This window comes from Homo sapiens, chromosome 13 (genome assembly GCF_000001405.40).
Source record: "Homo sapiens chromosome 13, GRCh38.p14 Primary Assembly".
NCBI lineage: Eukaryota > Metazoa > Chordata > Mammalia > Primates > Hominidae > Homo > Homo sapiens.
Genome location: NC_000013.11, coordinates 56,159,857 through 56,184,079, shown reverse-complemented (window position 1 = coordinate 56,184,079; position 24,223 = coordinate 56,159,857). Strand labels below are relative to the sequence as shown.

Sequence of the window (24,223 nt, the reverse complement as noted above, 5' to 3'; positions counted from 1 at the left end):
CTCCCACTATTATTATGTGGGAGTCTAAGTCTCTTTATAGGCCTCTAAGAACTTGATTTATGAATCTAGGTGCTCTTATATTGGGTGCATATTTATTTAGAATAGTTAGCTCTTCTTGTTGAATTAATCTCTTAGCCATTATGTGATGCCCTCCTTTTCTTTTTTGATCTTTGTTGGCTTAAAGTCTGTTTTGTCAGAGGGTAGGATTGCAACCCCCGCCTTTTTTTTGCTTTCCATTTGCTTGGTGAATTTTCCTCCATCCCTTTATGTCAAGCCTAGGTGTGTCTTTGCACATGAGATAAGCCTCCTGAATACAGCACACCGATGGGTCTTGACTTTTTATCCAATTTGTCAGTCTGTGTCTTTTACTTGGGGCATTTAGCCCATTTACATTTAAGGTTAATATTGTTATGTGTAAATTTGATCCTGTCATCATGATGCTATCTGGTGTTTTGCATACTAGTTGATGGAGTTTCTTCATAGTGTCATTGGTCTTTATATTTTAGTGTGTTTTTGCAGTGGCTTGTATTGGTTTTTCCTTTTTCCTATTTAGTTCTTCCTTCAGGAGCTCTTGCAAGGCAACCCTGGTGGTGATGAATTCCCTCAGCATTCGCTTGTCTAGAAAAGATTTTATTTCTTTTTCACTTGTGAAGCTTAGTTTGTCTGGATATGAAATTCTGGGTTGAAAATTATTTTCTTTAAAAATGCGGAATATTGGCCCTCACTCTTTTCTGGCTTATAGGGTTTCTGCTGAGAGCTCTGCTGTTATTCTGATGGTATTCTTTTTGTAGGTGACCTGGCCTTTCTCTCTGCCTGTCCTTAATATTTTTTCCCTCATTTCAACTTTTAAGAATTTGATGATTATGTGTCTTGAGGTTGATCTTCTCATGAGTTATCTTAGTGGGGTTCTATGTATTTCCTGAATTTGAATGTTGTCCTGTCTTGTTAGGTTGGGGAAGTTCTCCTAGATAATATCCTGAAGTGTGTTTTCCAACTTGGTTCCATTCTCCTGGTCTCTTTCAGGTACTCTAATCAATCATAGGTACGGTCTTTTTACATAGTCCCATATTTCTCAGAGTTTTGATCATTCTTCTGCATTCTTTTTTTCTCTAATCTAGCAGGAAGAAAGACTAAGTCGGCTTATCTGCAGAGACTGTGGCTATCACTACCCCTAGGGGCTCAGGCTCAGGCAGATCAGAGTTCTGTCCTAAGCCCCTGGCTGGAGTTGTTGGAGTTCCTGCAGGGAGGCCCCACTCAGTGAGGAGGGATGGGTCAAGGTCAGGCCTGAAGAGTCACTCTGTCCTCAGTCCACCACAGCTCAGGTGTGTTGGGCTGTGGAGGATACCTCTTGGGACCAAGCCGTCCAGCCTCCCTGGCTCCAGCAGGGGAAAAGTGCAGCCTGGAGCTATAGAGATGGCTGCCACCCTGGGAGCTTAGTATGTTAGGCGGCTATCAGTCCCAGTGTTGGCTGCTGAGGATCTCAAAAGGCTTAGATCTCAAAGGGCTTAGAGAGCTGGCAGCTGCAACTCTGGTGCTGGTCACCCCTCCCTCCAAGAGCTCAGCAGGCTTAAGCTTAGTGGCTGTTGAGAATCTGCAGGGCTCCACAGTTGGGACCCTAGGCCCCAGTTGCATGGACTCACCAGTGGGCTCTTCCGATCTGTGAATTTCACAGTTCCTTGGAAAGAGCACATTTTCCAAGGCTGAGTAACATACTCACTCCCTGCCTCCTTTGGCTGAGGGCTGCCCTGCCCCATGTGGCTCTCAGGTGGGCTCCCACACAACAGTCCTCTTCCTTCCTCTTTGTGGGTCACTCCAGCCATCTAGTCAGTTCTGATGATAGAAGCTGAATACCTCAGTTGCTGGTGCAAGTTTCACATGTGGTTACAGTTCTTTTCAATGGAAACCTCCTATTCCCACTACTTCTAGTTGGCCATCTTGGCCCTGCCTGCCAATGTTTTGGTTTCTAACATACTATCTTTTCTGTTTTTTCATACTATCTTAATTAATAGGGCCAATGATTAATCAGATGCTACTGGTTAAAGCTGGGGAACTGTCTGTTGTATTGCAGAGAGTGTATGCTTTGTAATAAGTGAGATCTGGGTTTGATTTTCAGTTCCGAAGATTTTTAACATATATCTTAGAATTGGCTTTCTATCTGCCTGAATCTCAATTTCTTTATAAGTAAAATAGATTGGGGAGGTGGGGAGTACCGCACTTCAGGGTTATTGGAAAGATTAAATGCAAAGTACAGAGAATAGTGTTTTACATGCTATATGTTAAGGATATCTATGATATCATGAATGATTACAACATGAATGATTACAGCATTTGAGAAACCTAAATATCTATTCCAAAGATATGGAAAGCTGACCAAAGATATATCCAGTTTTCCAGAGACTTTTGCAAATGCAATTTTTACTACTTAAAATATTTGTTCATCAATTATAATAAGGAATAATAATTTTGCATTTAACAACTGTGTAGATAATGAAGATAGAGTTGTCATTTATAATGCAGGGCAGTTTGTGACCTTGGGTGCTTTGTCTATAGAAGCAATTATTTATGTACATTAAAAAAATTAAAGCATAACAATTTGACATTAAGTACAATATCAGCATTCTCAAAGTTGACCTAACAGTAATGTTAAAAAATACAAATTACCTCTATGAATATTTTAATATGCGTTTCCTGAAAACCTGAAGAACCTTAATCTTTTGAGAATATCTAGTAAGGGAGCTATTTTATCCACCTAAGATTGTTTAAAATAAACTTTTTTATTAGTTTAAAATAAAAATAAATAAATAAATATGATACCATATTCTTAAATGATGCTCCTTCTCCAAAATGAATATAAGGGACATGAATAAAGAATATGTGAAGTTTATGTGTGTACGTGATGATAGCAAGCTTTTACTCGTTAGCATATGTCAGTTTTAATATAAAATATGTGATAAGGAGTAACATTTTCCAGTCAACACTAGTTTATCTAAAGCTTTATGTTAGTCCTGGAACTGTAACTGTTTTCATTTTAAAAGTAAAGAAACTAAGATTCAAATAAATTAGGTAACTTTTCCTTGATCACTCTGGAGGTAAATAGAAAAACTTGAGTTAAACACTACAGGCTTGACTTCACAGTTGTTGTTTCTTCCACAGTATGTTACAGAGTTGATGACACCATTGTTTTATATTAATCATAGAATATTTTTTAAAAGTACTTTAAGTTACAACTTAATAAAAACAATTTTGTGAATTAATGCTGAAAAGAAAGGTTTTTGTAAAAATATGCTTAGAGAGATTTCATTAATCATGTTAAGCAGAGTGGGTCGATTTTGATATTGAAAATTATTTCTTCGTTAGTATGTATTTTGATTTCCTAGTTAACATATGTTTGAATAAAGATATGTTACAACGTAGCTTTTTGAAAATAATATTTATCTTAATAATTTAAGGATACAAGTGGTTTTTGTTTACAAGAATGAATTGTGTAGTGGGGAAGTCTGGGCTTTTAGTGTACTTGTCATCTAAATAGTGCATGTTGTAAACAATGGTAATTTTTCATTCCTCACACCCCCATACATAATCTCCAATGTCCATAATACCACATTATATGCCTTTGCATACTCCTAGTTTAACTCTTACTTATAAGTGATAATATGTGGTATTTGGTTTTCCATTCACTTTATTTCACTTGGAATAATGGCCTTCAATTCTGTCCAAGTTGCTGCAAAAGAGATTATTTCATTCTCTTTTTATGGCTAAGTGGTATTCCATAGCACATATAAACCTTATATTCTTTTTCTACTCATCAGTTGATGGGCACTTAGGTTGATTCCATAGCTTTACAATTGTGAATTGTGCTGTGATAAAAATGCATGTGCAAGTGTCTTTTGATATAATTATTTATTTTCATTTGGATAGATGCTTAGTAGTGAGATTGCTGGATAGAATGGTAGGTCTACTTTTAGTTCTTTGAGAAATAGCCATACTGTTTTCTATAGAGGTCATATGAATTTACATTTGTACCAGCAGTGTAGAAGAATTTCATTTTCACCACATTTGTGCTAACATCTATTGCTTTTTGTTTGTTTGTTTGTTTGTTTGTCTGTTTGTTTGAGACAGGATCTCACTTCGTCACACAGGGTGGAGTGCAGAGACATGATATTGGCTCACTGAAGCCTTGACTTCCTGGGCTCAGGTAACTCTCCCACCTCAGCCCCCCAAGTAGCTGGGATAAGAGGCATGCCACCACACCTGGCTAATTTTTGTATTTTTTCTAGAGACGGGGTTCTGCCATGTTACCCGGGCTCAAACTCCTGAGCTCAAGCAATCTGCCTGCCTAAGCCTCCCGAGGTGCTGGAATTATATGTATAAGTCACTGTGCACAGTCTATTTTATTTTTGACTTCTTAATAATGGCCATTCTGATTCTGACGAGGTGGTATCTCATTGTGTTTCAATTTGCACTTCTCTGATGATTAGTAATGTTCAACATTTTTTATATGCTTTTTGACCATTTGTATATCTTCTTTTGAGAAATGTCTATTCATGTTGTTTCTCATTTTTTAAATGAGATCTTTTTTTTCTTGCTAATTTGCTTGAGTTCCTTGTAGATTTAGTCCATTGGAGGTATATTTTGCAAATATTGTCTGCTATTCTGTAGGTTGTCTATTTACTCTCTTGATTATTTCTTTTGTTTTTCAGAAGCTCTTTAATTTAGGTAGGTCCCATTTATTTACCTTTGTTTTTGTTGTATTTTCTTTGGGAGTTACAGTCATAAATTCTTGGCCTAAGCCAATGTCTGGCCTAAGCCAATGTCAGCAAGTGTTTTCCCTAGGTTTTCTTCTAAAACTTTTATGGTTTCAGGTCTTAGATTTAAGTGTTTAATCCAGTTTCAATTGATTTTTTTATATAGTGAGAGATATGGATCCAGTTTTATTCTTCTACACATGGCTATCCAATTTTCCCAGAACCATTTATTAAATAGGGTATCCATCCTCTAGCATATTCTTGTGTTTAGTTTGTTGAAGATCAGTTGGTTGTATGTATTTGGCTGTATTTTTCTATTATCTTCTATTGGTCTATGTGTCTACTTTTTACCAGTACCATGCTGTTTTGATTAATATAGCCTTGTAGTATAATTTGAAGTTTGGTAGTGTGATCCTTCCAGATTGGTTCTTTTTGCTTAGGATTGCTTTGGCTGTTAGGGCTCTTTTTTGGTTTCATATGAATTTTAGGATTATTTTTTCTAATTCTATGGAAAATGATGTTAGTATTTCTATAGGAATAACATAGAATCTGTAGATTGCTTTGGGCAATATGTTTGTTTTTAAAATATTGATTCTTCTAATCCATGAGCATAGAAATTTTTTTTTGTTTATGCCATCTGTGATTTCTTTTTGTGGTGTTTTATAGTATTCCTTGTAGAAATCTTTCACCTTCTTGGTTAATTATATTTCTAGATATTTTAAATGTTTTGTCACTATTGTCAATGTGTTCAAGCTCTTGATTTAATTCTCAGTGTGATCTTGATTTGATTCTCAGTCTATGGCAATGCTACTGATTTGTATACATTGATTTGGTAACCTGAGGCTTTACTGACTTTATTTATCAAATCTAGGAGACTTTTGGAAGAGTATTTAGGGTTTTCTAGGTGTAATATTATATTATAGTTAGAGATAGTTTGACTTTCTCTTTTCTAATTTAGATGTCCTTTGTTTCTTTCTCTTACCTGATTTCTCTGGCTAGGACTTCCAGTACTATGTAGAATAGAAGTGGTAAAAGTGAACATCCTCATTTTGCTCCAGTTCTTAGTGGAAATGCTTTTAACTTTTCATTGTTTAGTATGATGTTGGCTGTGAGTTTATCATATATGGCTTTTATTATTTTGAGGTATCTTTCTTCTATGCCTAAATTGTTAAGGGATTTTATCATAAAGGGATGCTGGATTTTATTGAATGTTTTTTATTTGTCTATTGAGGTTATCACAAATAGTCAACAAAATGCTATCAAACCAAATCCAACAGCACATTATAAAGACGATTTCCCATGATTAAGTGAGTTTCATCAAAGGCATGCAGGGAAGGTTCAACATACACAAGTCAATAAATACGATTCACATAAGTAGTATTCAGTACAACATAGTTTTGATGAGAAATATACTACTAACTTGAAGTAAATTTAGAAGCCCGTATAGAAATATTTTTCATTTTCCCACTTGCTTCTACTGTCATATTCATATTCGATTGGAAGCCTGTTAAAGACAACGTTTGTGCCTCCAAAATTTATTTGTTCTGGCCTCATTCCCCAATGTAATGGCATTAGGAAGTGCAGCATTTGGGAGCTAATCAGATTCAGATAAAGTCATGAGAGTGAAACCCTCATGATGGGTTTGGTATTCTTACATGAAAAAGAGACATCAGAGATTCCTCTCTTTGACTTGTGAGGCTACAGCAAGTCATCAGAAATCCAGGAATTGAGTCCTCACCAAAACCAAGTCTGTTAGCATTTTGATCTTCAGCTTCCCAGACACCAAAACTAAGATACATATATGTTGCTTAAGCCATCCTGTCTATGATATTTTGTTATAGCATTCCCAACTAACTGAGTCAGAAGTCTACTTTTAAAGTCATGTAGGTGAGTAACATTAAAATGCTTGCGGAAGAATAGAATTAAAAGATAAAGATATATACATTTTATTTTTCAACATAAGGTCCGTCAAAATCAAGAAACTTTATATAAGTCATTTACAGTCTATTTAGTCTATCCCTAAAGAACTCAGTGGCCTGGGAATTAAACTATGCCAATGTGGTCACTTCTGCATTATTAATTGAAGAAAAATAGGTTTATAGATGTTTTAAGTTTAGGAAACAAAAATCAATCAGAATGAGCCAAATCAGTACTATAAAGTGAATGCTTAATGATTTTTATATAAACTCTGGAAAAATTACTCCTGATTGATAAAAAGAATGAGCAGGATCATTGTCATGGTAAAGAAGGACTCTCTGATGAAGCTTTCCCAGCATTTTTCTACTAAAGTTTTGGCTTTCTCAAAACACTCTGATAATAAACAGATATTATCACTCTTTGGGCCTTCAGGAAGTCAAAAGACAAAGTTGGGCATCCAAAAAAAACTATTGCCATGACTTTTGCTCTTGACCAGTCTACTTCTGTTTTGAATGGGCCACTTCCACCTCTTTGTAAATTTTTCTTGAAAGACGTTCATTTTAACATGCACGTAAGAAGGATCACTTTGAAGAATGTTTGGGTTAATATTTTCTCCTTTTTATTTTCAATAATGCTTATTTTTATCAAAGTCTTATACAGCGCTAGATGTGTTTACTGAATGGGACATACATCAAGCACTAACACCAGAAACGTTTCTTCTACTTACCATATACAAACTCTACAGTTACTAGATACAAACTCTATAGTTAGTTTTGAACATAGACAAAAGTTCCAACATAATGTTGTTAAATGTTTGAGTTTGTTTACATGAGGCAATAAATTAATTGTTAATTCCACAAAATGGTCAGCTTTTGTTTGTCAGAAATGAGCGTTTCATTTCTTTTCTGTACCTCTGTTCTGAAAACCTCACAAAGTGTTGAATGATTTAGACCTCCTCGTGTCTGAGGCTGTCATATATTACCCAGTGTTTCTTTTTTTTTTTCAGTTGCAAACTCACAGTGCAACCAATAGTATCATTAATGCTAAGATGATTAAATGGAAATCTATCCAAATCTAACAAATATATTTCAATTATGAACAAATAATTCCAACAGTGTATACTAGAGTTATGGGACAACATGTGAGTTGCTATGAAGGTAGAATGTATGTGTCTGGATGTGCTGTTTAGTGAAGTCACTATTAAGGAGCTGGTCTTTGGAATAATTCTTCAAAACTAAGCCTTTATCATCAGAAAATGAAGTTATCACAGGCATTCTAGTCATAGACTTTTGATAGAATAATGTGGGCTGTTTTTAGTATAAGTTGTGTGTAAAATAGGTACAAAGTTGGCAAAAAAATTTTTTTTGAAGAACAATTACTTCATTGTAACTGGCTAAATAGTAAAAAAATGATCTGCTCATTGAAATATGCTTAGACATAATTGGTATCATTTCCAGGACACAAAATAAAATAAGAAAAGCTCAATACATTTAAAACATCAGATTCCCTTTGATATACAAAGTAAGTAACCCAGAGGCATAACTTTTCTGTCCGACCTATACACCCCAAGAGACACTATTCCTCTGCCTTAATCATCCCAGGGCCAGGTACAAGGCAACTGGAGACAATCCCTGTAACGCAAAGCCCACTGAAATTAATCATTTAATTAGTCATTTAGCCAATCCTAAGCTGTTTATCCTGCCCTACATTTTTTTTTTTTCCTAGAAAACACCAATAAAGGCCCTATAGCCTCGGGCTTTCCTTTTGTTTTCTTCTACCACCTGACCCAAATCTTGTGCTTCCAAAAATGCTCTGCATCACATGCTGTGGCCCCTTCTCTGTGACCTGTGAGTATAATACATAATTCTTTTGGCCTTTTCTTTAGGGAATTATTTAAAGTACAGTTTGAAGTTTTCTTCTTCCAGAAACAATCTGTAGTTAGTCCTACCAGTCATTTGATACACTGCTAACCTGGGAGTCTGTTAAATTAAATTTTATCCATGAGGTGTTTTTGACCATGTGGTAGTATGGATTTACACCACAAAATTAAGGGAGGGCTGGCTTAGTTATAAATTGTCCTGGAAGAAGCTCCAGCACCATTCCACAGAGCCACTGAAATGATAATTTATTTTTATCATTATATTTTGAATTTTTTCGCTAACCTTTTTACATAAGGTATAGCCTATTGAATCCCAAAGTCTGAGTCATTTTGAATTAGATATCTAAAGTTGATTGATCCCTACATTTTTCCTTCCATCTTCTGCACCCTATGGAATCGTGAAAATACAAGATCAACAAATCCAGGGTTTTTCATGAATTATCAAAATAAAAACTGGCTTTTGTGTCCTGTTGTCTCCCTAACTTCACTTTGTTTTTAAACTCTTGTAATTTTATTTATCCTGCAAATTTTAGATTCATATTTATTTCAGACTAGCTAATAAAATATATTGTTGGAGATTGAAATATGCATTTCAAATAATTATGACCTTAAATAGTTAATGACTTTATCTGGTGTGTATTTGTTTATGACTTCTAATTTGAAGGGAGAATTATAGCTGTTTATCAGTATATAATCTTATGCTATGTAATCCTTTATACTTTGAACAGAAAGTATCCTGCGTATATAAGTGCAATGTGCTTTAATGTGTTTTCTTTATTTGCTTTATTTTAATATTCTCTTACTTCCTCTATGTCAACATTTCTTAAGCATTTTGCTTTTCACAAATATTCCAGAGCTGTTTCATTTTACTAGTAGTATCAGAAATAAAGAATAGAAACTTCTTATCAGAATTTAATCTTCTCTATTATCGAAGAAGTATAGAAATCCAGAAGATCTATGATATTCCATTTGGTCAGTTTCAGGCTTATACAGCCATGTTGTTCTGCTATATTGGGCTTTCATCTTCAGAAACGTGATTGGTCCCAAAATTACTGTTGGAGCTCTAGCAATTATATTTACATTCAACCAGTAGGAAATAAGAAAACAACTTCCAATGCTCCTTTTATTTAAAGCCATTCTCCAGAAATTATACATAGATCTAATTACATTCCTTTGACAAACTTTAGTAACATGACCACACCAAGCTGTAAGTCAGTCAGAAGTATTTAATCATATAATCTGCTAAATCTGCTGATTGACAACCACAGCTTATAATGATATAATCTGGGAAACAGAAGCCATTGGATTTTCAACCTGTCACAGTTCCAAATTGCATGATATTTAGCCACTGAGTGTGCCTCCTTTAGCAGAAAGCTACATCCCCACTTCAAGACTGAGTGTCTAATCTTGGCTAAGTACCTCTCTCTTGAAGGACTCTAATAGAAGTAGCAAGAAATGGACAACTGAGACCAACACTGTTAATTTTCCACTATTCCCTCTACTGCTGCCTTTTACTGTATCTGAAAATGTGAGGATATAGCTTCCATTATATAACAGACATCATCAGATTGTCAGCCTGCAATACGTGCATACTCGATTCTTGCCGCCCATCTGCTCCTATTATTCCAATGTTAACATATTTTTGGCTCTTTTATGTTCAGCATTCTACTTCTAACTTCCAAATTTGTATTCATTAGGATTATAGTAAACTGAGAGTTTCAAAACATAAAAACGAACTAGAGTTTAAACAAAATAAACGTTTATTTTTCTGTGATATTGCAAAAGGTCGGAAATAGGCATGCTAGCAGTGATATGTCACTCCAAATCTATAGGGACACGGACTCCTTTAATCTTGTTTTTACTCATGGTAAAGTTTCTATTCTGAAGGTCACACTAGGGGCCAAAATGGCTGGTAGATCTGTATCCAGAACATCCACACTCTAATTGGAAGGAGGAAGAAAGCATGTCTTACAGTGTTAAGGTTACTGCCAGGAATTCAGAGACACTGCATCTGCTTACATGTGTGGGAAGAAGAGTTAAGAATCCAATATGCATTTAAAGAAAGAAAGAAGGCAAGTGACGTGTTTTAATATCCTTTTATATATGTCAATCACAGACTTCCTGGCCAAAAAACAAACAAACAAAAAAACTAATGATATTGGATAGCAGCAAAGTCTGTATGCCTTGGACACTTTCAGAGGGAAGTACTTGGCAGGCCGTTTAGGACTGTTTGTAGGAAACAAAAATAAAATATGTGGATATATGGACAATGGCTCCCTGGAAAATGTCACTAAAGCTCTATCACTATCTTAACATAAAATGGAAGTGTTTCATAACTGATATGACTCTCTCTTGTGTAAGTACTGTGGTTACACATATCAGTTAGATGCCTTATATGTAAGTCATGACCAAGCATGTCTAATGTAGTGAGAAGGAGCCCAGTAACCACATTAAAAGTCCTGTATCACTCTTTTTAAAGTGCCATGAGATTACTTGTGTAACTGAAATTAATAGTAAAGTTTAATGCAGGGTAAGATCTCTGATTTGTCTGGGACTAATTTGGCAAACCAGTGTTTCATAACATTCCATTCACTTGGCCAGTACTTACACATGGATGCAAATTAGGCTAAAGCATACTTTTATTCTGAGGGATCATGTATCCAGTTAAATATCAGGGATTCTGATTTACCTTTTAAAAAGGTACATTATTAATATTGAGGGACAATTAGGAGTCTCTGTAATTCACTTCCAAGTATGTATCTCATACAAACTCATAAATATGCATCAAAAGACAGGTACAAAAATATTCACATATTGGAATTGATAACATACTGGGTATGCCAAACGGTTGTGAAAATGGTTGCCTTTGTTCCTTTCTCTCCTCTCTTGCAAAGTTCCATCAACAGCAGCCTTAGAGGTAGAGAGAGCAAAACCTGATCCACAGCCCTAGAATCACTGGAATCAGAGATGTCAGAAGATCTTTCCAGAAGGATTTACTCTGGCCAGAGCAGCTCTATTTCTTAGTTATCTTCAAGAACCTAAATATCTCCAGAAAATGCCATCTTACTCTTGTTTCAGGGTTTTTCACACCTGGTTGTTACGTTTGATCCCTTGGTGCCAACTGTCTCCTCCCAGCTTATAGCACAGTCCTCAACTTCACTCACATCATGATGAAGTATATGAATGGACACTGAAACTCAGGATCACAGTAGGCTGGGAAGGGCAGTAAGCATGCATTCACAATGCCAAGGCTGTCTTCCAAAAACCATTCCCTCTCTCCATCATTTTAAAAATAAAAGTATAGCATACATAATATGGTCCTGTCTTCATAAAAGCTTTCTGTTAGTCTATCCAAATAAATGTATAAAATATACCTGGCTGACAATGACATCTACTCTTATTTTTGAGAGTTAGAATTAAGGCAGATTTTAAAAACTTATTCTGTAAGTTCCTGACATTGTCTTAATTATTAAAATAATCACATAACTTAAAAAGTAACATTTTTTTCCAAGTACCTTAAAAAATAAAAGTATATTTTCTCAAAAAACACAGATTTAAGATAATTCTCTTGTAGATAACCTTAAACCCATACGTACAAGATATGGAGATACAATAGTTCACCTTATAATTTCTTAGAAATTTGACAGAATTAAACATTATTTTCAAAGATTTTATGTTAAAACACTCTATCTTATGTACATCATGCATTTCTATGCAAATAACTCATCAGCAAAATGAACTGCATTTCAAATTAAGCATAGCATGAACCTCTCTTGTAAAAAAAACACTTTTATATAAAAAAGTTAAAATCTAATGCTGCTAAAATAAGTTTCTGTTTAACTCACAATATGTCTAAAGTCAAAGCAATCCATATTATCTACTAAATCAGTTTTTTCCATTCAGCATGAACCTTCATAATCACTTTATAATATATACTTTTTGAAGGAGGTAAATTTTTTGTTAATTAACTACAGATTCTATATGCCTGAAAGATCAAGGGCTTATTGACATTTGCACCTATATAAAAAAACAACTTTTTTTCTTTTATAAACTGTATATGCTCTTCATGCTTAATCAGTGCACATATAAAACGGCATGAAGTATCTAATTCTCTGCACACAATTTTCAGTAGCTAAGGTGAATTGGCTGTCCTGTTTCTTTGACTCAAATTAATAACTAAGAAAGTTCTTCAAAATAAAATATGTTTAGTTATCTTTAATCAAGTGAATAAATTGACTAATAAGAAGCGCCCAGTGATCACTCTCTGGAGAAATACATTAATTCATGTATACACTTGAGCCTTTCACCTAGAGAGAGGCCATTTATACTAGCTGCACTGACTGCCATGTTAAGTGCATTTTGGGCTGGGTAAACATTCAACTTGCTTCATGAAATGATGGTTTAGGTCCCTGGATAACTGTTAAGATTGCAAACACCATATGAGTATGTGAGAGACTTTCTATTTTAAAGCAAAATAAGCAGGTTATGAAATGCTTAGCATTTTTTTCTAGTTCAGGATGTGAGTTTATTGACATGAAGTTTTCTTTTCAAAAGCAACAGACATAATATAAAAAAATACATTTTATTATATTCCTTTTGATTTAAGCATTTTATAATTTACAACAATATGCATAATAAAATCTAAACAAAGAGTTTTAGACAGGCAATCATGTAATGTGTCAGAGTTAGACTACAGAAAATTCTCTATAAAAGGGAAAAAAGATGTTTTACTGTTTTTGATTATTTGTCATAATATAACAATTTTATAAAAGTGGTGCATTCAAACTTAAAAGCTGTAAGATTCAAATCCATTCAAATTAAACAAAGAGAAAAGAATATAAATCTTGAACAAAGTACTTAGATGTGTGTTAAAACCACAATGCCCTAGGGACAACTCAAATGAAAAACATAACACTGTACTTCTCAGTGCTACATCTCAAGTCACAGCCACAGGCTGCATATAGGATAAGTTTTGCTCTCATTCTACAATCTACTTAATAATCCAACACTTAGTCTTTGCACTTTCTAAACAATACATTCCACAGGATCTTGGGATGTGAAAGCCATATATTTCCATCTTTCCACAAGACTGTGAGGCAGGCTTGAGGCACATTTTTTGCATTTTTAAAGTTGATAAGAAAAAAAAGACAATTTATATTTGTATTTTTTATGAAAAATTCCTATTTTTCACAAATAGGAAAAATGAGTTGTAATCGTGGAACCTAACTTACTTAGGTTCATGCAAGTGGTATGGCACAAGAATATTCAGCTTTAAAGTTTGTGCCCTTATAACCAATTACAAGTGGAACTGAACAATATGTGAGTGTAATTAGTATGCCATGACTACATATGTCCATACTGGGACACACTGTTTCCGTTATCTCTGTATCAGACAGAGGTTTTATTTCATATGAACCCAAGATATGAGTCTTTTAATTTCAGAAGTTGAAATAGAGGACAAATTTTATATTATTCACATTGAGGTAATATTTACACTCTAAGAACAGCTGAGAAGATTGAGAGAGAGTATGTGAATACAGAAAAGAAAGGAGCATAAAGTATAACCTTAGTAAATGTCCATGTATGAAGGTAACAGAATGAGAGTTGTAAATATCCAAGTTAGAAGAAAATCAAAGGAGAAAACTAGGTGCCACAGAACCAAATCAAGGAAAATTGAAGCATTAAAAATTCATTAATGATGAAAAAAGAGAGGTCAACAATGAGAAAGAATGATTGGCAATGAAAAGAAGAGTATAGATTCCTCAAGATGAGGATACAGAGCAAGTACAGAGCCAAGCAGAAATTCTTCTGGACAGCAGAGAAACAAGGGATAATATGATACAATTTACTCACATTTGCTATTTGCAAAAAATATCCCAGGTAGAAAATGTGATGGAAATAATGATGAAAAGTGTCTTAGGGTAGATCTATCTAATAGGAAATGATGCCAATCATTAATTTAAGAGACAATGAAGATCTAAATAAAACAATGTGTGTAAAATAGGAAAGCTTGATGTTATGAAATAAATCAGATTTCTGGATAGGAGACTTAGTTTTGTTGTTTACTAAATAATATCTCAAATTTTGAAATTAAGAGACATGGCTCTTTCCTCCCATCTAATTCTCAAAAATTGATGTAAATACTGCTACAACAATAGTTATGCACGTTAGTAGCATGATAACCTTGTAGACTTAAAAATTAACTTATATGGATAGCACAATTAAGGTTCTAAAGCAAATATGTGAGGATAGATATATAAAAAATAGGTGATATGGAAGAGAAGAAACTTATGCTTGGTTCATTCCTGTATTTAAAAACTGTTTATATGCATATGTATATACTTTTTCAATTTATACAAATTTAATCTCTACTGTAACACCTGTAACTCAATGGGAGCAGAAGTAGACCTAAAGTGAGATAAACAATACAGTAAAAGTCTCATAGCAGAATACAACTAAATTTCTCCCTCCTCTGTCACTTTCAGCTTTGATTATAGTTATACATGAGGCAGTAATGCTATTATTCCACTCAAATTAAGATCCATATCCTTTTATTGGATGAAATATTTTCAATCTGGTTAAAGTAAATAGGTCAATAAACATAAGATTCACAACTTTAGCAGGTATAAAAAAGCAGAAATTGAAATCACGTTCGGATACCATTACACATACATCAGAACCACTGAAATTGAAAGTTCTGGCAATGCCAAGTGCAGACAAGTGGTGCAACCTGGGAGCTTTCCTACAGAGAGAAAGAGGGAATGCAAATTGGCATATCCAATGTGGAAGACTTTTTTGGCAGCATCTCCTAACACTGAATACATGAACCCAGTAATTTTATTTCTAGTTATATACCCAATAGAAATGTGTGCATATGTTCAGTTAAGAAATATTTAAGAATGTTCATAGAAGTAACATTTATAATTGCCCCAAACTAAAAACTACCTGAATGCTTATAAGCAGGAGAATAAATAATTGAACTGTGTTATATTCATCCAAAGGGTGATGCAAAGTAATGGTAATGAGTGGACTGCAAATATGTGCAACAAAACAAATTAATTTCAGAAGCTAATGTTGAGCTAAATAAGCTAGTGACAAAAATGCAGCTATTGCATCTCTCTCTCTCTGTGAGACACACAGAGAGAGAAAGAGTTAATTTAAGAACAATGCAAGCAAATGGTTGCCTTCGGTGTGATGTAAATGGAAGAATGCTGGTATGATTTGGATCTGTATCTCCACCCAAATCTCATGATGAAATGTACTTCCCAATGCTGGAGGTGGGGCCTGGTGGGAGGTGATTGAATCATGGGGTCATGAAAACTTCTCTGGCAGTGTAAAATGAGCCTGCTTTCCCTTCGCATTCTGCCATGATTGTAAGTTTCCTGAAGCCTCCCCAGAAGCCAAGCAGATGCGAGTATCATGCTTCCTATACAGCCTGCAGAACTGTGATCCAATTAAAACCACTTTACCTTTTTTTTTTTTTTTTTTTTTTTTTGAATCGGAGTCTCACTCTATCGCCCAGACTGGAGTGCAATGGTGCGATCTCAGCTCACTGCAACCACTGCTTCCTGGGTTCAAGCAATTCTCCTGCCTCAGCCTCCCAAGTAGCTGAGATTACAGGTGCACACCACCACGCCCAGCTAATTTTTGTATTTTTAGTAGAGATGGGGTTTCACCATGTTGACCAGGATTGTCTTGATCTCTTGACCTCGTGATCCACCTGCCTCAGCCTCCCAAAGAAACCCACTTTTTTTTTTAAATTATCTAGTCTCAGTTATTTCTTTATAGCAATGTGCATTCTAATACAGAAAATTGGTACTGAGGGGTAGGGCATTGCTATAAAGATACATGAAAATATGGAAGTGACTTTGGAACAAGGTAACAAGCAGAGGCTGGAGGAGTTTGGAGAGCTCAGAGAACAGGAAAATGAGGGCAAACTTTGATCTTCCTAGAGATTTGTTAAATTGCTTGACCAAAATGCTGATAGTAATATGGACAATGAAGTGCAGGCTGAGAAGGTCTCAGATGGAAATAAGGAACTTAGTGGGAACTGGAGCAAAGGTCACTTTTGTTATTTATTAGCAAAGAGACTGGCTGCAGTGGCCCTGCTCTAGGGAATGTGTAGAACTTTTGACTTGAGAATGATAATTTAAGGTATCCAGAGGAAAAAATTTCTAAGATGCAAAATGTTCAAGGACTGCTTCTAACAACCTATGCTCATATGTATGAACATAGAAATGAACTGAAACTGGAATTTATATTTAAAAGGGAACCAAAGCATAAAGCTTTGGAAAATGTGCAACCTGGCAATGTAGTAGAAAAGAAAAACCCATTTTCAAGGGAGGAACTCAAGCAGGCTGCAGACATTTGCATAACTAAAAGAAAGGCAAGTGCTGATAACCAAGACAATAGGAAAAAGACCTTAAAGGCATTTCAGAGACCTTTGCAGCAGCCCCTTTAATCAATAGGCCCAGAAGCCTAGGAGAGAAGAATGGTGTTTTGTGGGCCAGGCCCTGGGCCCCACCACTCTGTGCAGCCTAAAGACACTGCTCCCTGCAGCCCAGCCGCTCCAGGTCCAGCTGAGGTTAAAAGGGGCCCAGGTACAACTCAGGCCACTGCTTTAGCGAGTATAAGCCATAAGCCTTGGTGGCATCCATGTGGTGTTAATCCTGTGGGTGCACAGAGTGCAAGAGTTGAGGCTTGGGTGCCTGCACTTAGATTTTAGAGGACATATGCAAAAGCTTGGGTGTCCAGGCAGAAGCCGGCTGAAGGGGCAGAGCCCTCGTGGAGAACCTCTAAAAGGCAGCATGGAGGGAAAATGTGGAGTTGGAGCCCCCACACAGAGTCCCCACTGGGCCATGGACTAGTGGAGCTGTGAGAAGAGGGCCACTGTCCTCCAGACCCCAGAATGATGGATCTTCTGACAGTTTGCACCCATGTGTCTGGAAAAGCCACAGGAACTCAATGTCATCCCTTGAGAGAAGCCATGAAGGCTGAGCGCTGCAGAGCCATAAAGAGTGAGCTGCCCAGAGATTTGGAAGCCTACTCATTGCATCGATATGACGTGGGTTTGGGGCATGATGTCAAAAGAGATGACTTTGACTTTTAACATTAAATGACTACCTTACTGGATTTCAGGCTTGCATGAGTGCTCTAGCCTCTTTCTTTTGACCAATTTCTCTCTTTCGGAAGGTTCTTACTTACCCAGTGCCTGTATCCCCTTGTATCTTGGAAGTAACTAACTTTTTTATTTATTTATTTATTTTTATTTTTTTTAAATTTTACAGGCTCATAGGCAGAAGGGACTATCCTTGTCTCAGATGAGACTTTTGACTATGGACTTGAGAGTTAATGTTATAATGAGGTAAGATTTTGGGGGACTATTAAGAAGGCACGATTGTATTTCAAAATGTGAGAAAGGAGATTTGGGAGAGAACAGGGGCTGAATAATATGGTTTGGATCTGAGTCCCAACCCAAATCTCATGTTGAAATGTAATCCCCAATGCTGGAAGTGGGGCCTGGTGGGAGGTGATTGGATCATGGTGGTTTCTTATGGTTTAGCGCCATCCCTCTAGTGCTATTCTTGTGACAGTTATCATGAGATCCGGTTGTTTAAAAGTGTGTAGCACCTCCCCACTCCATCTCTTTCTCCTGCTTTGGCCATGTAAGAGGAGCCTGCTTCCCCTTTGCCTTCTGCCATAATTATAAGTTTCCTGAGGCCTTCTCAGAAACCAAGCAAATGCCGGAATCATACTTCCTGTAAAGCCTGTGGGTCTGTGAGCCACTTAAACCTTTTTTCTTCATAAACAATCTAGTCTCAGGTGTTTCTTTATAGCAATGCAAGAATGGAATAATACATCTGTCTAATGGAACTCCTAAAATTGGCAGCAAACATATATTGTAGTGCGTAAACTAAATTAATGGGTTATGTTCTATATGAAAACCATCAAACAATGCTTATAATTTATGCACTTTTCTATATGTGTATGTTATATATTAATTATGTTAGTATGCTGGAACTGCCATAACAAAGCACCATAGACCAGTAATTTATTTTCTTTAACTACTGGAGGTTGAAAGTCCCAGATCAAGATACCAGCAAGATTTATTTCTTCTGAGATCACTATCCTTGGCTTATAGATGGGCACTTTCTCACTTTGTCCTCAAATGGCCTTTGCTCTGTGAATGAACATCCTTGGTATCTCTTCTTATAAAGATACCAGTCATACAGGACTCCACCCTTAAGACATCATTTAACATTAACTGCCTTCTTAAAAGTACCTTTGCCTGGCCAGACACAGTGGCTCACACCTGTAATCCCAGCAATTTGGGAGGCCAAGCTGGGAGGATCACCTGAGGTCAGGAGTTCGAGACCAGCCTGATCAACAGGGTGAAACCCCGTCTCTACTAAAAATACAAAAATTAGCTGGGCATCGTGGTGTGTGCCTGTATTCCCAGCTATTCAGGAGGCTGAGACAAGAGAATTGCTTGAACCTGGAAGGTGGGGATTGCAGTGAGCCGAGATCATGCCATTGCACTCCAGCCTGGGTGACAGAGCAAGACTCCGTCTCAAAAACAAAAAAAAAACAAAACAGACAAAGTATCTTTGCCTATCTCCAAATGAGAACATCACCAAATCAATTTTGGGGATACCATTTAGCCTATAACACCAATAAAAATATAACAAAAATGAAAGAAAAATAAAGAAACAGCATCTAAAATCTGAAAGATATCTTATATGGCAATCATCTGCCCTCACTCCTTCCTTTGCTACCCTTGTATTTCCATTACACATCTCAGTATAACAGATTTTAGTAGCCTCTTCCTTCCTTGCTTCTATGTCTGCATCAACCATATTGTGCATCTGCCATTAACCTAGCATCATTTCTCCTGTTATCATTGGGAAGAGTTGGGAATGTTTATTCTCAAAACTTTAGGCAAAATATTGAAAATATAATTATATTTGGATTTTATTGAGAATAAGAAGCTTCCCTTTGCCTTAAAGAAATAAAATTGCATTAAGAAATGTATCAAATCTTATTTTTTTCAAACCACTTTCAAATGTAGATCATATTTGGAAACTCAAGTAAAAATGTAGCATCATGTTAATTAATACATACTTGCTATGAAAGTAATTAGTAAGTAATTTAAGTGGCAGAAACTTTATTAAGCCTAAACAATTTTAAAGATCAAATTAGGAAAGAATTCTTAAAAGTAAATATTGCTTTTAATGACTAAATGTGTTATAAATCTGAATTGTACTTCAATATGTTTGTGCTAGGACTTAGTTATTTTACCAGTATTCCATACTATCCAATTCTGTTGTTGAACAATACACAGGAGCAGTGCCTGATCTGGGATTATACAGTTGGTTCTTCGAACTTGGCAAAGAATTTTAGAAATTTTAGATATCCGTGATAACAACTTTGAAGTTGGATGAACCATAATCCTTGAATGAAATCAATGTCACATTCAAGATTTTCAATACAAATCATACACAATACATTTTAAAAGTATACCCAAAGTAAAGGACTGAAATACATAGCAACTAATCCAGCCCCAGGGGTATATGAACAGCTGGCTTATTTTTCACTGCTCGTAAGCCTTTGAATTTAGCTGTACTGTTTACTGCATTTAAACATGTGGTGCTTATAACATCCTTAATAAGGAAAACAGGATTGCTTTCATAAGCACAAGCTCTTAGTTACATCATATGAAACACATAAATAATAATATTAAATACACTCAGCTATTCAATAATATGGAATACCTTGCAAATTATGTTATATGCTGAAAAAATGATACTTTGAATATCTGTCATTTTTCTTGTACAACTGTATTCTACATCTATTTTTCTATTTGGCAGCTAAAATTAGAATAAAGGCATGCCTTGAATACAGCATACATAAAAATGTGTTACATTTACTCTAAACTAGTCAAATGGAAGAAACTCATTTGATATTTTTACATATCAGTTTAAATTTTTAAGTTACAGAAAACAGGACAATTTACAGATTATTCTGTAAGCCTAATGCACATGCTTATGTGTACTGTAATAAAGTTAAAAGGCTATAAACTGTGTCTTAACCAAATAATTTTATATAGAGAGATGTTGACATATGTATATAATCCTTCAGAAGGTAAACATAAATATTTGGTGTATTTACTGATTTCTTTATTGATTTAATAGTAAAGTTAATAGTAAATGCTTACAAAAATTCTAATTTCTTCTGTTTCATTTTTTAAACTGCTTTGTTAAGATATAATTAACATATCATCATACAATTCACCCATTTAAAGTGTACAATCTAATGATTTTTAGTATGTTTGCAGAGTTATGCAACCATCACCACACTCAATTTTAGTACATTTTCACCTCCCAAGAAACTCCCTAACATTGGCAGTCATTCCCGGTTTCTCCCCTATTCCTCACCTATCCTGTGTACCCCACCCCTTATACTTGCTATGAAAGTAATCAGTAAGTAATTTAAGTGGCAGAAACTTTATTAAGCCTAAACAATTTTAAAGATCAAATTAGGAAAGAATTCTTAAAAGTAAATATTGCTTTTAATGACTAAATGTGTTATAAATCTGAATTGTACTTCAATATGTTTGTGCTAGGACTTAGTTATTTTACCAGTATTCCATACTATCCAATTCTGTTGTTGAACAATACACAGGAGCAGTGCCTGATCTGGGATTATACAGTTGGTTCTTCGAACTTGGCAAAGTATTTTAGAAATTTTAGATACCCATGATAACAACTTTGAAGTTGGATGAACCATAATCCTTGAATGAAATCAATGTCACATTCAAGATTTTCAATACAAATCATACACAATACATTTTAAAAGTATACCCAAAGTAAAGGACTGAAATACATAGCAACTAATCCAGCCCCAGGAAGCCACTTATTTATTTCTGTCTCTATATATTTGCCTATTCTAAACTTGTTTTCCTCCTACATAACTGTAATTATATATGCTTGGAGAAAATCAAACATCTCCACCTCTCTCACTCCCCACCCAACCTCCTCAGCCTCTGGTAGCCACCATTTTACTCCACCCTTCTATGAGATCAGTGTTTTAAGATTCCACATGTAAGAGAGGTCTTGTGGTATTTTTCTTTCTGCACCTAAATTATTTTACTTAAAATATATTTTCCATGTTGATCCACATTGTCACAAATGACAGGATTACATTCTAATTATGTTTAAGTAGTATTCCATTATGTATATATACCACATTTATTTCCATTCCTTGTTCATAGACACTTCTGTTGATGCCATATCTTAGCTATTGTGAATAGTTCTGCAATAGACATGAGAGTGCAGATAGCTCCTCAACATACTTATTTCATTTCCTTTGGATACATACTCAGTAGCAAAATTTTTAGATCATATGGTAGTTGAACTTTTAATATTTTGAAGAAATTCCACAATGTTTTAAATTACAGCTACACTAAGTTACTTGCATTCCCATCAAGAGTATATAAGGGTTCTCTTTTCTTCACATCCTCACCAATGCTTGTTCTCTTCTGTTTTTTTTATAATGGCCATTCTAACAGGTGTGAAGTGATGTCTCATTATGGTTTTGATTTGTATTTTTATGATTATTAGTGATGTTAAGCATTTTCTTCAAATACCTGTTGGTCATTTGTATGTCTTCTTTGAGAATGCCTATATGGGTCTTTTGCCTATTTTGTAATATGGCTAATTGTTTCCTTGTTAGTGGGTTGTTTGAGCTTCTTGTATATTTTGAATATTAACTCCTTATAAGATGCATTAGGTGATTTCTCTAAATTTGTAGATTTTCTCCTTACTCCATTTATTGTTTCCTTTGCTGTGCAAAAACTTTTTAGTCTGTGGTAATCCCATTTATATTTTTGCTTTTGTTGCCTATGCTTTTCAGGTCATTTTCAAAAAAAAAAATCACTGGCAAGACTAGTGTCATGGATGTTTTTATCCCTAAGATTTCTTCTTGTAGTTCCACAGTTTCAGGTCTAACATTTGAATTAGGTTCAACATGAAATTCAAACATTTATTGAATTGGTTTAGAATTAATTTTTGTATATGGCTTGAGTCACGGTTTAGCTTCCTTCTGCATATGTATATCCCATTTTCCTAATATCTTTTACAGAAGATATTTCCCTTTCTTCATTATGTGTTTTCAGCACCTTTGTCAAAAACCAGTTAGTTTTAAATGCAAGGATTTATATTGTAACTCTATTCTGTTCCATTGGGCTGTTTGTCTGCTTTTATGCCAGTACCATGCTGTTTTGCTTATTACAGCTTTGAAGTATACTTAGGAGCCAGGTAGGGTGATACCTTCAGCTTTAATTGTTTTTGTTTGTGATTGCTTTAGCTGTTTGGGCCTTTTATGGGTTCCATACAAGTTTTAAGATTTTTTTTTTTGTGAATAATGTCATTAGTATTTACATAACGATTGCATTTGACTTATAAATTGCTTTGGGTAGTATGGTATGAATATTTTAACAATATTCATTCCTCTAACACATGAACATGAGGTAGCTTCCCACTCATTTGTACCTTCCTCACTTCCTTTTATCAACGTTTTATAGTTTTGAGTGTTGAGATTCTTACTTACTTGGGTAAATTTATTACTAAAAATTTTAATTTTTGTAGCTATTGGGAATGGGATTAATTTATTGATTTCTTTTACAGATAGTTCAATTTTGGCATATGAAAACACTAGTAATTTCGTATGTTAATTTTGTACCCTGCAACGTTACTAAATTTGTTTATTAGATCTAACAGATTTTTTGTGAAGTCCTTAAAGTTTTCTACATATAATATCCTATCATGTGCAAACAGAAACAATTTAAGTTTATCCTTTCCAATTTTGATACATTTTATTTTTTTCTCTTGCTTAATTGTTCTGGCCAGGACATCAAGTACTATGTTGAATAGAAGTGTTAAAAAAATAGGTATCTTTATCTTGTTTTGGATCTTAGAAAAAAAACCTTTCAGTTTCCTCATTCAGTATGATGTTAGTTATGGGTTGTCATATATGACCTTTATTATATTAAGGTACATTCTTTCTATACTTTCGGTGAAACTTTTTATTATGAAGGGATGCTGACTTTTCTCAAATACTTTTTCTGCAATTGTTGAAATGATTCTATAACTTTTGTAATTCATTCTGTTAATGTGATATATAATGTTTATTGCTTTGTATATGTTGAACCATTCTTGCATCCCTGGGATTAATTGCACTTGATTATGGCAAATTATATTTTTAATGTGCTATTGAATTCAGTTTGCTAGTATTTTGTTAAGAATATGTGCATCTATGTTCATCAGGAATATTGCCCTGTATTATCCTTTTTATATTGTGTCCTTGTGTAGTTTTAGTATCAGGGCGATGCATGCCTTGCAGAATGGGGTTGGAAGGATTCCCCCCTCCCTCCTTAATTATTTTAAATAGTTATAGAAAAATTGGTATTAGGTTTTTTTTTTTTAACATTTTATAAAATTCTGCAATGAATCCATCAGTTTCTGTACTCTTCGTTGATGAGAGACTTTTATCACTGATTCAATTTTCTCACTCATATTGGTCTGTTCAGGTTTTCTGTTTATTCTTGGTTCAATCTTGGCAGATTGTATGCATCCAGGAATTTATTCATTCATTCTAAGTTATCCAATATGCTGGCATACAATTG

At 34.9% G+C, this 24,223-nt stretch overlaps 1 annotated feature.

The window, feature by feature from the left end:
• Window positions 16,672–17,271: an enhancer, noted in NCBI's record as "OCT4-NANOG-H3K27ac hESC enhancer chr13:56740943-56741542 (GRCh37/hg19 assembly coordinates)". NCBI's record gives its function as "activates a minimal SCP1, AML or CMV promoter by ChIP-STARR-seq in naive and primed H9 embryonic stem cells {active_cell/tissue: H9 hESC(naive and primed)}" and the evidence as "EXISTENCE:reporter gene assay evidence [ECO:0000049][PMID:30033119]".